A 14,517-nucleotide genomic window follows, 5' to 3' on the forward strand; every position below is an offset into this window, starting at 1 on the left:
GTTGATTTGCTGCATCAAATGTAATTAGGCTAAAGCACTCACTGACAGAGCCTCTGATAATGGCATAAAAGCCTCAGGCTTAAATTTACCCATTGAGTCAAATTTAAGTGGATCAACAAAGACATACTAATTTCATCACTAGAACAGTAAAACAATTATTTTTAAAGGTGCTTATTTGGGACAACAAGATTTTCCTTTCTTTGGATCTCATAATTGTTTTATTTTAATTTTAATTTTAATTTAATTTAATTTATTTTATTTTACTTTTTAGTCGCTGGCTTCCAATGAAGTGGTTGATGTCTCTGACTAGGAAAGACAGTTTCATGTGTACACAAGCCATATATCCCTTCTGAATCTTACTCTCAAGTACCCTGTGGAAAATGATGAGATGTTTTTGTCAGGTTATATCCAAATAACTTTGAACTCTACCAGTTGCATACTCATAAGGGTAGCAGTAACATTATTACTGACCTTTTAACCCTTGCTTACTGGAAAACTCCAGTTGTACCAGTGGCCTCTTTATAAATGAGTCACTTTCAGGCTATGACTAAGATGAAGAAAGCATTACTTAGGGTTAAATTTAGGTCAAGTCTGGGCCCAGAGCACAAGACAGGCTTTAGTTGTTGTTAAGAGCCATAAGAAAACTATGAAAAGCATTTCTGCCTTATGCAGAGAAGAAACAATTCAACAGAAATAAGGTTTAACAGTTTCCTGCATAAATATTGTAAAGCAAGTCAGCAGGGGTCTGTGTTAGAGTGAGAGAGAGCTTGCAGGTGGTCTCAGCAGGAAGGAAGCACTTCCCTGGAATGCCTATATGGATGATCTGGATGAAGCTTTTTAAGAATTAGCAAAGAAATTAAGTATGATGGAATAAACAAGATAATAATAATATGTGAAATGTACTCTTTTAATTCATTTCTAAATTTTCTCTTGTGTTCACTGGTTTTCAAATATACCACCAGCACTAGAACTCCTAAGAAATCACTCTGAAATTTCCAGGGCATGGCAATGATTTCTGAGGATTTTGTACCTCATCGTGGAATTTGACTTAGTTTGAGTTCTAGGTATACTGCTTTTGATGATAGCAATAGGCACACGTGAGAATGAGGTTAAGTAAGTGTTTATTTGAGGATTTAATATTGTACACACTCTAGGAGTAAAGCAATTATCATGCTGTTAATTTCATATTCATGTATGGCTTATTTATTTGCTGTTTACCTCTCTGCATAATGAAAATGCCATGGAAATCTGCTTCTTCTAGCACTCTAATTTTAAATGAAGCTAAATGTTATGTATAATTTCAAGATACAGATTGCTAATTTCATTCTATTTTAAATACTGTATGCATGAGAAGCTTCTATGTTCTTGCAGAATCCATCTTTAACCAGAATCGAAGCATAATTTTCTAAGTAATTATGGAATAGTTAATACATTAAAATATGAATCAGGAGCATCATAGGCATATTTTGAACCATATAGTTTTCTAAACCTATATATATATGTATGTGTGTGTGTGTGTGTGTGTGTGTGTGTGTATTCCCTATCTCAGAGTCAACACCTTAGTTACTTTTCTGACAAATAAAATATAGTCATAACATAATCTCTCTTATTGCTCCTACTGATAAATTATTTGCATCTGGCTTACTTGTAATTTGGTGGCAAAATCAATGTTTGGTGAAATGATTCTGAAAACTTCAGGGGCACTATAGTTTTCATTTATTTACATGATATGCTATTTTTAAAGAACCAGTCATTGCCAGAATTCTACGTTAGTTCATCTTCTGAGAATATAATGGGAAAAAAAAGAAAGAAAGAAGTTCATATCTAATGTACATGGAGTTTTCTTCTCCAGTCTGATAATTCACTCAAGTAACATGCCTCAGATTTCACTTCCAGGCCCACCCTTGCTCGTCTCTGCTCAATACCAGAAACTAGAGTTGTGTGTCATCCAAGTTTTTCTAATTTTTTATTTTTTCAGCAGGTATCACTGTGTGCCCACCATGTGCATGAATAAAGTCCCTATTTCTGGGTGGCTACAGCCCAGTTGTGAAGATAACACATAGATGTGAAATATTGAATGAATAATACCACAAGTCAGTATACATTTAAATATGCCAAAGGCAGAAATTGTTGAGGAAATTCACTTCTGAAAACTCTTAACATAGTCTGTAAAGCTTAATATTCGCCAGTTGTTCAATTTCCATTGTTATTTACAAAAATGAAGCTTTGAATTAAGGAAAAAAAAAGCACCATCTGCCTACCCATGCAATAATGCTTGGTTTTATTCCCAAGCATATCAACCACTGGCTTGGCATTTTAACTAACTGAAGTAATTTTCTCGTTAGAGTGTGTCTGTGTCTACAAAATGCATTTTTCCTGGTTACTCATTTTAGTATTTCTGCTCTCTAGCTCTGCCTATGCTGGACTTGAAGCTTTCTGTCTGTAAGTACAGCCACCTTGTTAAATGATTCATACCTTCTAGGTACCTCAAGTGCAGACTATACCTGATGCCCCTTCTTTTCCAGTTACTTATTCAATCAATCCCATCAATCCTTTTATTAATTGATTGTTTAGTCAATATTTATATTGAGTGCCTATTTTCTGTGGGCACAAACGGCACATACCGGCCTTTAAAGATACAGAGAAATGTAGAGCATACCTGCCCTCAACTACATTTCAAAGAAAAAGTGCATATAAAAATATTCTGTCTGGGCTGGATGTGGTGGCTGATGCCTGTAATCCCAGCACTGTGGGAGGCTGAGGTAGGTGAATCACTTGAGCTCAGGAATTAGAGACTAGCCTGGCCAACATGGCAAAACCCTGTCTCTACTAAAAATACAAAAATTAGCCGGGTGTGGTGGCACACACCTATAACCTCAGCCACTCTGATGGCTGAGACATGGAGAATCTCTTGAACCGGGGAAGGGGAGGTTACTATGAGCAGAGATTATGCCACTGCACTCCAGTCTGGGTGACAGAGCGAGACTCTGTCTCAAAAAAAGAAAAAACAATCTGTCTTAAGTAGAATTTTCTAAGTGTCAGAGAGAATGTTACACATTTATTCATTCAGTCCATCAATTTATTTAGCAAACATTTATATTTATTGAGCATTGTGATATGTCAAGCATTCTGACTCACTGGAGATACAAAGATGAATAAATCATATATGGTGCCTGCCTGCCTTATATGAATTTAGAGTAAGTTGATACCATGGTAGGCTAGAACTTTGTTCCTCCACGTTTGTCTGAGAACCAGGAGCATTGGCATCACCTAAGAGCTTCAGAAATAAATAATTTTAGGCTCCATCCAGATATACTGAATCAAAGTCTGCATTTTATTGAAGTGCCCAAGTGATCCAAAGTGAAGTTTGAAAATCACTGGGCTAGAAGGATTATGGAATGCTTTTGTGGAGGAGCTGAAATAAGTAGATATCATCAAGTTTTATTAAAAGAGGAAGGAAGACTTGTTAAAAAGGATTGGATAACATCTGAAATCTAATTTAGGATATGGGGTTTTCAGAGCTGGTTGGGAATGATTATTCAAACAATGATGGGAAATGACCCAATAGTTGGTTGATGATCCACAGGGAGAGGAGTGGTGATAATGTATGATAATATGGCACTCAAAGCTTAGAGAAAGATGAGTGGTCTAGATTCTAGACTCTAGAAGTAGCAATGGGATACTGATGGTGATGCAGTGGCTAAAGGCAAGATTTTCTCATCCCAAGCATGTAGAGGTAAACACTCATATTCTCACAGGTGATATTTAAATTAACTTTTAGGATTTATATTTTTTGAATCCTAAAATTACAGTGAAAGTCAATAAGTAGATACAAATCCAGCTAGTAAAATGTTTTTATATATGCCAGTTTTTTTCAAAATACATTTAATTTATTGGACCTTAAATATGAGAAAAAAAGGAGGTAATCTTAATGGAGAAAGGCTGTTTACATTTTTATCTACAGAGTTATGTCTTCATAATCAAGAGAAGTCCCAGACAAGATTGTGAGAAAATGAAGTTTATCTGTAGTGGCTTTATGTACTTCAATCATCTTTCTGTTATCTTCCTCTCAGTTTTTGTAATCCAACACAAGGAAATGAAGACACCATGTGGTCGGAAGTCAATAAGAGTAATATTGAGGGAATGGTGACCTCCTCAAATGCATTGGTTTTTGTTTTTGCTTGAGACAGAATTTTGCTCTGTCATCCAGGCTGGAGTGCATTGGCGTGATCAAAGCGCACTGCAGCTTCCCATGCTTAAGCTATCCTCCCATATTAACCTCTCAACTAGCTGGGGCTACTGATGCGCACCACCATGCCTGGCTAATTTTTTAAGATTTTTGTAGAGATGAATTCTCACTATGGTTGCCAGGCTGGTCTCAAATTCCTGAGCTTAGGTGATACTCCCACCTTGGCCTCCCAAAATGCTGGGATTACAGGTGTAAGCCACCACACCTGGCAAATGCATCATTTTGAATCACAGGATCTCAACTGGCTTCTGTCCTCCTGTGAAGTCAAGTCCTCCACACAGGGATACTTCCCCTCACAGGTTTGAAAGAATTTAAGGCGCCAGTGCTGTGTAACCTTATGACAATCATAGACAAGGTACCTTTGCTCATTGGGCCCTTAAGACTGCCTCCGCAGATGATTTCATTTCTGAGATGCTTTAAAAGTGACATCCATATCTCCTGTTTTTTTTTTTGACATCTGTTAGTGTGGCTTTAACATATTCAGTGTGCTTTAAACACATGACTTATCTGCACACAAACCTGAGCTGACAGGGAGAAGCCTGCAGCTCTCCAATAAATGACAGACTTAATCAGTGAGACATAGAGCCTAGAGCAGTGTCTTGGATAAAGTCTACCTTACAAAACTCAGAGACGATCAGAATACTTTCATTGCTAATGTTTCAGATGTTCTGCACAATGATAAATTATTTTTTTTCTGAATAGAGTGCTTTGAAATAACTTGAATGGTAAATCTAGAATTATATATTCTTAGCCAATAATACTTCCTAAGTATAGAAAGCTGGAGAAGTAAATGGGGCTACACAGAGGTTTGGAAAAAAGAGTTTGCTAGCTAGAAGTAGCGTCCCTCAGTGAAGTTTTATAGCAGACTTAGAAGGTTAATTATCTAATAAGTTGGAGTGCTATTTTCAAAGCTAAATTATTTTATTGTAATTCAGATAGATTATGTTTTGGGATAAACTTTTTTTACATAGCCACAGAAAAGTCCTATCATGAAATAAATTAGCTATATTGAACATTAGTAAAGGTACGGTGTTTAAGGGATAATATTTTTCATTACTTTGAGTTCTACAAGTAAAGGTGTTTGTTACACTACAAATATGAGTTAAATGGCAAATGAATATTTCACTGATGGCAAATCTTCAATATTTAATGGTAGATTTGATATTTTACTTATAAAGGTCATCTGGAGCCATGTACCGTATAGTAAATTACTCAAATGATTGATTTTTTAAAATATTGTTTTAGGTCAAAAAATAAAAGAAGATGGAAGGAAGGATGTACAGAAGGAAGAAAAAAAAAAGAAAGAACCTGTGACTATGAAGTAAGAACAATTTTCCTCATTTGTATTGAAAATTCTCTTTCATTCCAAATAGCAACAGCACTGGCTTCATGATTCCTTCTAAAGAAACTGTGGCTGCTGCAGTGACTCACTCCTATAATCCTAGCACTTTGAGAGGCCAAGGCCAGCATATCACTTTAGGTCAGGAGTTCGAGACCAGCCTGGCCAACATGGCAAAACCCGCTTCTCTACTAAAAATACAAAAATTAGCTGGGCCTGGTGATGCGCCTCCCAGCTACTCAGGAGGCTGAGGCAGGAGAATTGCTTGAACCCAGAAGGTGGAGGTTGCAGTGAGCCAAGATCGCACCATGGCACTTTAGCCTGGGCGATAGAGCCAGACTCTGTCTCAAACAAACAAACAAACAAACACAAGAAACTATCATATCATGGCCACAAACCTTTGAATATATGTGTTCCAGTTCCAATGTGTTGTCCCAAATAGGTTTCACTGTTCTGCAGTTGGTTTCATGCTTACATGCTACTTAATTTTAACAATCACTTATCGATCATTATTTCTACAATGAAAGCCACACTATATATGTGAGTACACTATCTATATTATTACCAATAATATAATTTTTAGCTTGATTTTTTTCATGTAGGAAAATGAGAATTTATAAAATAACAAATCATATAATTAGAAACTATAGAGTAGAATATTCTCCTTTATTCCTCAAAAGATAGCTGCATTTTAATAGAAATTTCATTAGGATTAACAAATATCACTTCTGAAAATATTAAGTGTAGAGTCAAAAATTATTTTTCTAACCTTAAAATTAGTTTCATATTTTTTTCCTAAATATGTTGAGATCTCAAGTACTGTCAGCTCTATATTTTGTTTCTCTTTTAGCTCATATTTTGTTTTCATTCAAACTTCTTTGCCACCACATGAGAGTACCACCAGTGAGGACTCAAAATAGCTTTCTCAGTTAAGGAAAAAAAAAAAAAAAGTGAGAGCTGATGGAATAGCTGTTTAGTGACTGGCTACTTGAGTCCAGCCCACGGAAGAGAAAAGTGTGGTAGCAAAAGTGGCATCACAGAAATGATTATCAGTGGAAAAAAATGTCACACATCATGTGGCCTCTGTCTGTTAATTTAACATGATGCATTTGAGTGTAAAAATAATGGGCTGTGTCAGCCTTACTAATTATCTATGCTTGTTCTAGAAGTCAGGATCATGAAATGCCTCCAAACCACATGATTTAACAGGCTATTTTAGACCTTTACTTACAAATCTCTAAGCAAGCAATTGGTAATCCCATTGGAAGGCTCTTCTGTAGTTAGGGATGCTGTACTGAGCTGGACTTGAATAACACCAAAAGTAGCTGCAAGATGGTGGAATAACTGATTTTCCGTAGTGGGTTCTTTAGCCTGGTAGGACAAGTTTCCTAGTTAATGAAACTGTTTTGATGCTGAAGCACTTCCCTATCTCATACTGCCTCTGTTTGTCCATTATAGTTTAAATATACTGCATTGTTCTTGCAAGTTCATAGTCGAAATGTATATATTTTGTAATGTATATATATATACATTAAAATGAATATATATTTAAACTATAGGTTAATAGTGGAAGCAAATTAGCCTATTATAACTACTTACATGTGCTTCTTTGGTGTCATCTTTAACATGACCTTTAGAAAGCAAGAACACGGTCAGGAGATCGAGACCATCCTGGCTAACATGGTGAAATCCCGTCTCTACTAAAAATACAAAAAATTAGCCAGGCGTGGTAGCGGGCGCCTGTAGTCCCAGGTACTCGGGAGGCTGAGGCAGGAGAATGGTGTGAACCCGGGAGGCGGAGCTTGCAGTGAGCCGAGATCGCGCCACTGCACTCTGGCCTGGGCAAAGAGCGAGACTCCGTCTCAAAAAAAAAAAAAAAAAAAAAAAAAAAGAGAGAGAAAAGAAAGCAAGAACACAAGCTGGCCAGATAGTGCTTCGATATTGGAAACTATTAACACCTGAGAATTTACTGGCGGACCATTTTAAGAGGGAGAGGTTTGTGAATGGGATACTATGTAGAAAGACCTTGCCATTGAGGGCCATTTTTTTTCTAATTCTTCTAGCAAGCTGGTCAATGTGTGCGTGTGTGTGTGTGTGTGTGTGTGTGTATACAGTCATATTTACATTTCGACTACGAACTTGCAAGAACATGTCTTTGTTCATAACTTCCCTGGATCTTGGCAGTATGTTGGGTACCCAGTGACTCTGTAATGCATGTTTATGAGGGGTAGATGTTCTAGTGAAAGCACATGAAGATTGGGATGAGAAGCCTGGGTTTCAATTCTCTTTGATGCTTACCACCTGTGTGACCTGGGTAAGTCACTTAACCTCTTCAAATCTCAGTTTATCACCTCTAAAAGAACTATAATATCTTTTCTATTTCTAACATTCTAATTTGTTTGAAGATCAAATTTGATTATGAAAATAGTAATAATAAAATGATCTTAAGCCCTCTATTATTATTAATAACAGTAAGTAAACTTTAAAATATGATCTAGCCTTATAAATTTTTAATATTTTATGGTCCTTCTTACAAAGTTTAGAGGAGCATTTTCTTGCTAATATTTTCTATGCCTCTACATTTGTATGTAGTATCCAAGGAATATAATCTTTTTAGATCATTCTGGAAAGAAAAATCGTTATTAAGGAAAGAAAGTGGGAGCTTGGTTAAATATCCAGGTTCACCTGCCATCTAAGAGTTATGAAACAATATAATCAGATGAAGACCATTATTTATATAGGTTCTCCCCATTGTAACTAGATTGATAACCAGATTTAGATATGCCATTTCAATGCATGTCTCACCAACATGAAATAATTAGTAAATTAATATACATCAATAATGCTTCTTTACTTTTTAACAGTAAAAGCTAATTGTTCAGCTAATGTCTGCATTAGGTAAGCCACTTAACCCACTCAAACTTCAGCTTTATTCTTATAAGGTGAGAAAGTGGCATTGAATGATCTCTAAGGCCTTTTTTGGCTCTGAAAAGATTTGGATTTCTGATCTTGTGTGTCTTTGAGTATGTCATAAGTAAACTATGCTTTCACATCAGGAAAATAATCATTTTAAACTATCTAGAAGTTATTCTTACATTAACTTATTCACTTCCATTATAGCTCTTATCACAGCCTCTAATTATCATGTTTATTTATTTATTTTCCTGTTTAGGGTTTGGCCTTCTGTGAGACCTGAGACTGTCTTGATCACAGGTGGCCAATGCCCAGAACAGGGAGCACGTGGCATATAAAGGAGGAATTTATATTAATTAAGGAATGAATGAATTCAACTTTATCTCCAGGGTGCCGTGTCTTTATTCTTTATAATAACATCACTGGGAGTTCAGTAGGAATGTAGTAATGGTTGAATCTACTATTTATGTAAAATAATTAATAGAGGAAATGATTAAATGTTTTGCTTTCTATGTATGAGAACCATCTATAGTTTACTAGTTTATGGCTTTATTACTTTAGCTAATCAAGAGTGGGATTTTCATAAGAAAGTTGTTTATGTATTTGGTTTCTTTAACACTAAATTTGATTAGCTATTTTGTATCTAAAATTTATGATTGGCTGTCATACTTGAGTACATTGTAATATCTAGATACAGTCTTACATTAGGTAAATAAATTTGCCTGTTATTGGCATGTATTTTCTTATGACAGAAGAATGTTTGTCACCATTAAATGAGAATTGTAAATTTTAGAATTCATTGTGAATAGCAATATATCTTGAAATTTCCTATTGAGATATTAGAATATACATACTTTTCCACACCTCACTCATGTAGTTTCCCATAAGATAAAAATGTTTGAAAATCTTGTCATTTATCCTTCACAAACTGACTGAATTACTTTGTCAACACAGATTCAAGTTAAGGTCAATCTGGTTGCTATTTTCTCAGCTTTAAACTGGTTGGAATAGTAGATCTTTATTTGTAAGACATTAAACAGTGAGCATCACCAATGAAACTTTTCTCCCAGTGGAGTAAACATTTTCAAATTAGAAAAATAAAATCAAATTGCTTGGGAATACAGAGTCACAAAAATCAGTGACAATTGAGCCTGTTATTCCCTGTTATGAGACTCTCTAATAATAAGTCTCTTGAAAAATTAAAAAGGGCATTATCTTTCATTGTCATTATTTATATACAGTAGGAACTAGTTTTTCTAACAATGCCAGTTTCATCGATGAACTAACAATTTTTCTTCATTCAAAAGCTGTCAAGTTATGGTGGAGTGTAAATATGACAGTTTGTTAGAGGCAAACATTTGTAGCTTTCTTTTCTTTTTTTTTTTTAATGACTTGTTCCCCAGTAGATCTGGGAACCATTCCTGACAATAAAGCTAACCCTATGTGTGTTTCATAATCACACTTGAGATTACAAATTAGCCAAGAGGTAAAAACAAAGCCAGTGAGACATTAAGGAACACAGGCTTTGGTGACATGGCAGAGAAAACAGGACAGAAAATAATTTACTTGCCTGTAAGACATTTGTAGTGCCTTGGCCACTGTGGACAAAATCACTCTTCAGTATATCCTTGCTGTGTAGCAAGAGTTGAACAAGAGACTCTCATCATAAACTTGTTTTACTATCACACCTGCATGTATACATATTTATGTGATACTTTTATTTTGACTATTTTTGAACTGCAAAACATTGCATATTAATCGAGTAAAACTGGTTTTGAATTGTCTTTTTAAAAGGTGCAAATTATGGTTTCAAAGTGACCTGATAGAGGTGCAAATGAATGTTAGCACAACATTTCTAAAATGGAATTATTTTAAATATATGCATATAGATATGAATTCAGAATTGGTCTACTTCATTTTTTTTGGTTGAGGGTTTACTGCCTTAAAATGGGAAATAAATGTGTGAATTCTATCAAGGGTGTGAAATTCTCCATTTGTACAGACTGGAAACTTGGTAATAATTATGAATATAGCAATAGCAGAAATTATACAAAAGTTTAGCAACATTTTAATTTTAAATGCAAGTATTTCAAGAGTTTAGAATCTACTTGGAGAGGTTTTCTTGCAGTCTTTGATATTAAAAAGAGATTTCTGAACAGCCTACAAATCTAATTTTCTTACAATTTTAAAACAGAAAATTGCATTGACTCACCTTTTCTATTTCTAAAGCTGCTTATTCAAAGTGTGTCTGAATCTGATAAACCCATGAGCCCCAACTTCACCCAACCCAAGCAAAACTTAGCCTTTTCTCTCTTCTCACATCAGTGGACAATGGGCCTCAGCTGCAGGGAGCATTAGAGAAGCTTGCCCAGTCTCAAGGCCAGCTGGAAGGCCAGCTTCCCTGCTTGTCAGCCAAAGAGACACTTGGCACTGAGTTACCTTAGGGCAGAGGTTTAACATGGTTTGAATGAAGCTTGGATTTTGAAGTATCCATCTCTTTAGGTTGATGTCACTGGGAGTCCAAGACCCCTCTTTCATTAACTGGCTTCTCACATAGATGGCAATGATGACAGAAAACAGCCAACCACTAAAACAGTTGGTCCTTTTTTTATTATTTGTAATTTTGTCTATTTGCATGAGAGCCTGGCAGCATATGGCCTGATGAATTAAAAAAAACAAAACCCTGTAAACTCTCATCTGCTGGCCAGAGCCTCCAGCTCATGGCATTAGCAGGGGATAGTGCTGCTCCACCTGCCACTTGTCTGGAGGGTGGGGGAATAAACTGATGACCTACTAGGCTTCCACAGCCAAATAGCACTCAGCTAATACCATGATTTAATTCCTAACAGTACTGTCAGAAATGACTAGAAGTGGTAACACCCACTGTTTCAATAGCAAATCTGATTGGCAAGCTACCTGATCTCTGCCCTACCTAATATTCTACACTAATTATACCCTATCAGACCAGCAGGAATTGTGAGGGAGCAGAAGTGCTTCTAATCCAATGCACACAGATCAATTTTGAGTAGAAATACATAGAGATGTACACTCACATGATCATCTCAGGATAAAAGGGAGTAGCAAGTATACTTAGGAAGAAACAAACACCTTCACAGTGCATCTATTTACTTAATTATACACTTGATCTTTTCAAAGTCAAATATTGATATGCTTTTTGGATTTTTATATTTCTGAATTAGCCATTTTCTTTAAACACAAACTTGGGGAAAGGGAATTTATCGTATTATTTGTCTTGAGAACTAAACCTTTCTTTGGCTAAAATAAGGAAATTACAATTATTTGTTAATATCTTATAATTGAAAACAATCGCTAACCTTTTTTTCTCTCTGTTATTTTGTGTGTATTTAACTTATGATTATACAGCATCAACAAACCATACAAGTATATAAACAGAAACAATGTATAGGCTTTCATTAATTAAATGGATTGGTGTAAAAGTAAAAAATAAGTCATTCAAAATTCAAACTGAGTCTGCTAACCCATTTTGATCTAGTCGAGAAATTTTTTCCCTACATTTTAATATTGCTGATTACATTTACACTACAGGCATGAATCAGCATTGCCAGTGATGACTGCACATCTTTAGTATAAATGCAAGAAAGGAGGAAATAATTTGGGAGTAAAAGCTTCTATGACCTTTTCACGTGAGGATTTTCTTGATAAGCCACAGCAGACAAATCTAGCATTGTGAGATTGGGCAGATAAGACAGCAAATCCTTGCTAATCCTAGGTATTGCTGTCTCACTAAGTCCTAAAACAACAAACAACAAACAACAAAACCTCTATGAGGTAGGTAAGAGGGAATTTAAAAATATTTAACAACCAGTAGAAAGGGGACTGACCAATCAGGATGGCAGCACTGGAGTAGAATCCCAGAAGCCCCTTTACTTGTTGAAGCATTGATGCTTTGGTTCCTGAATTTGGGGAGGTCAAAGGATTCTGGTATAGAATGGGACATGAGGACTGGTGGGCTTTCATAGCAGCTATTTACCAATGTATGGAAGTGTTTCACTGTTGGTTAAACAACATGGCAGTCAGTACCTCTGAGTGCTGGCTGAACATCTGTCCCAGGGGCAGGCCTTATTTTACAGATGAAGACATTGTGGCTTAGAGAGGTAGATTAACTTGTTCAAAAATCATCCAGTTAACAGGAAACAGAGCCAGGATTTGAATCCATATCTATCTTGCTCCAAAGACTGAGTCCAATCTTTTTTACTGAGATTCCCTCTGAGTAATGTGGATAAAGACATCAGATACACCCTAGCAAGTCACAAAGATTGAGCGAGAGCAGAGAAAATCTATTTCAAACTCAACTGGTTCTTTGATATTAGAGTGGTACATGTTCCTACATGTAATTGGTAGTTAATAAGTTTGTTAGAATAAAATCTTTTTTGCTGCACTTCTACATAGAGAGATGTGTGTAAAACATATGCAAGTCATCTTTTTAGGTAAGATGCAATTGTAAATAAGAGCAAGATACTATTTTTAAAAAGAAAAACACCCTCTGCAGTACTCTGTAGTATTATTTGTTTACAGCTGAGGTAATTTAAATTGAACCAAACTAAGTGATCAAGTTTTGCTTCAACTCAAAATGAATATAAATTACTAAATCTCAAATTGTAAAGAAGATTTAAAGCAAGGGTGTGCAATCTTTTGGCTTCCCTGGGCCACACTGGAAGAAGAATTGTCTTGGGCCACACATGAAATGCACTAACACTAACAATAGCCCATGAGCTTAAAAAAAAAATCACGAAAAAAGATATCCTAATGTTTTAAGAAAGTTTACGAATTTGTGTTGGGTGTGCATAGGACAAGCTTGGTTTAAAGTTTTAAGGTTTAAAATGTTCATATATAGACGTGAAATTTGTGTTGAGCAGTAACATGTAGTAAGTGCTCTGTGATGGTCGATTTCTTCCTGATGAAGTAAAAGAGATTTTGCAAAGTAATTGCAAATTAATGCTAATCAAGCTTTCTTCCTTCATATGATCAAGATGAGACTATAAATACACGCGAATATATAACCATTCTATTTAGAAAAATAAGATTTCACTAGATAAAATGTAAGTAGTGTATAAACAGATATGTCCCTAGATTATGAACAGATTTTGTTCCAAATATTTACTTGAATTCAGCATTCTGGAATTTTATATGCAAATTTCTATACATAAAAATGAAATGAGTAGATATATTCCTCAGTTTTACTAGTAAAATTTATTTTACCTATACTGTACTTCAACAATAGAACGAATTCTATTTTAGGTCCTATTCTCCATGTAGTATATTGTTAATAAGGGAAAACATTCTGAATTTTAAATGAATTTTCTGGAACACATTTGGTTTCAGACCTCTGGTCTTGACATAAAATGAATAAACTGAATACCCACAGATTAGAGCACATCCTCCTATATTTTCTCAGAAATAAGACAAAGGTTCATCAAGTAAGGGGCTGAAGGATGAAGTTATTTACTTAGATTTACTATGGGTTTCTAGGACAACTATTTGAAAAACTGTAAATCTAAGTGATTCAAATTCTGAGTATCAATGTAGATCATAGCACTTAGAACTTAGGAGCTGGATGGAACTTTAGATATGATTAAATTGAGCATATCATTCTAAACTGAACAAGCTGAATAACAACTCTTTCTCCTCCCTCTTCATTTAATTCATAAGCACAGGTTAGGGCCAAAGAATATCCACGCCTTTGCCTGGCCTGTTTTACTTGTTGGTAAGGTACAAGGTAGCCATATAGCAAGACAGTTATAGTTGAAGGCCCTGTGACAAGCAATGCTTATCTTTCATTACAACTTTCTTTCATTAAAGCATCCATTGTTACCAGAGTCTACTCATTGTGCAAATATTTCTTGAATTTCTCTCCTTTGTGCATGATCCCAGTTGATGGGTAAATATAGAAACCAATAAAATGTGGTTTTTATCCTCAAGAAGATTATGTTTTTGGTGAGAAGATACAAGTCTTCTTCAATTCAAGAGTTTAATC

At 35.4% G+C, this 14,517-nt stretch overlaps 1 annotated feature.

Moving 5' to 3' along the window:
* Nucleotides 488–989: an enhancer, noted in NCBI's record as "NANOG hESC enhancer chr2:181971702-181972203 (GRCh37/hg19 assembly coordinates)". NCBI's record gives its function as "activates a minimal SCP1, AML or CMV promoter by ChIP-STARR-seq in primed H9 embryonic stem cells {active_cell/tissue: H9 hESC(primed)}" and the evidence as "EXISTENCE:reporter gene assay evidence [ECO:0000049][PMID:30033119]".

The sequence above is a fragment of the Homo sapiens genome, chromosome 2, assembly GCF_000001405.40.
Source record: "Homo sapiens chromosome 2, GRCh38.p14 Primary Assembly".
NCBI lineage: Eukaryota > Metazoa > Chordata > Mammalia > Primates > Hominidae > Homo > Homo sapiens.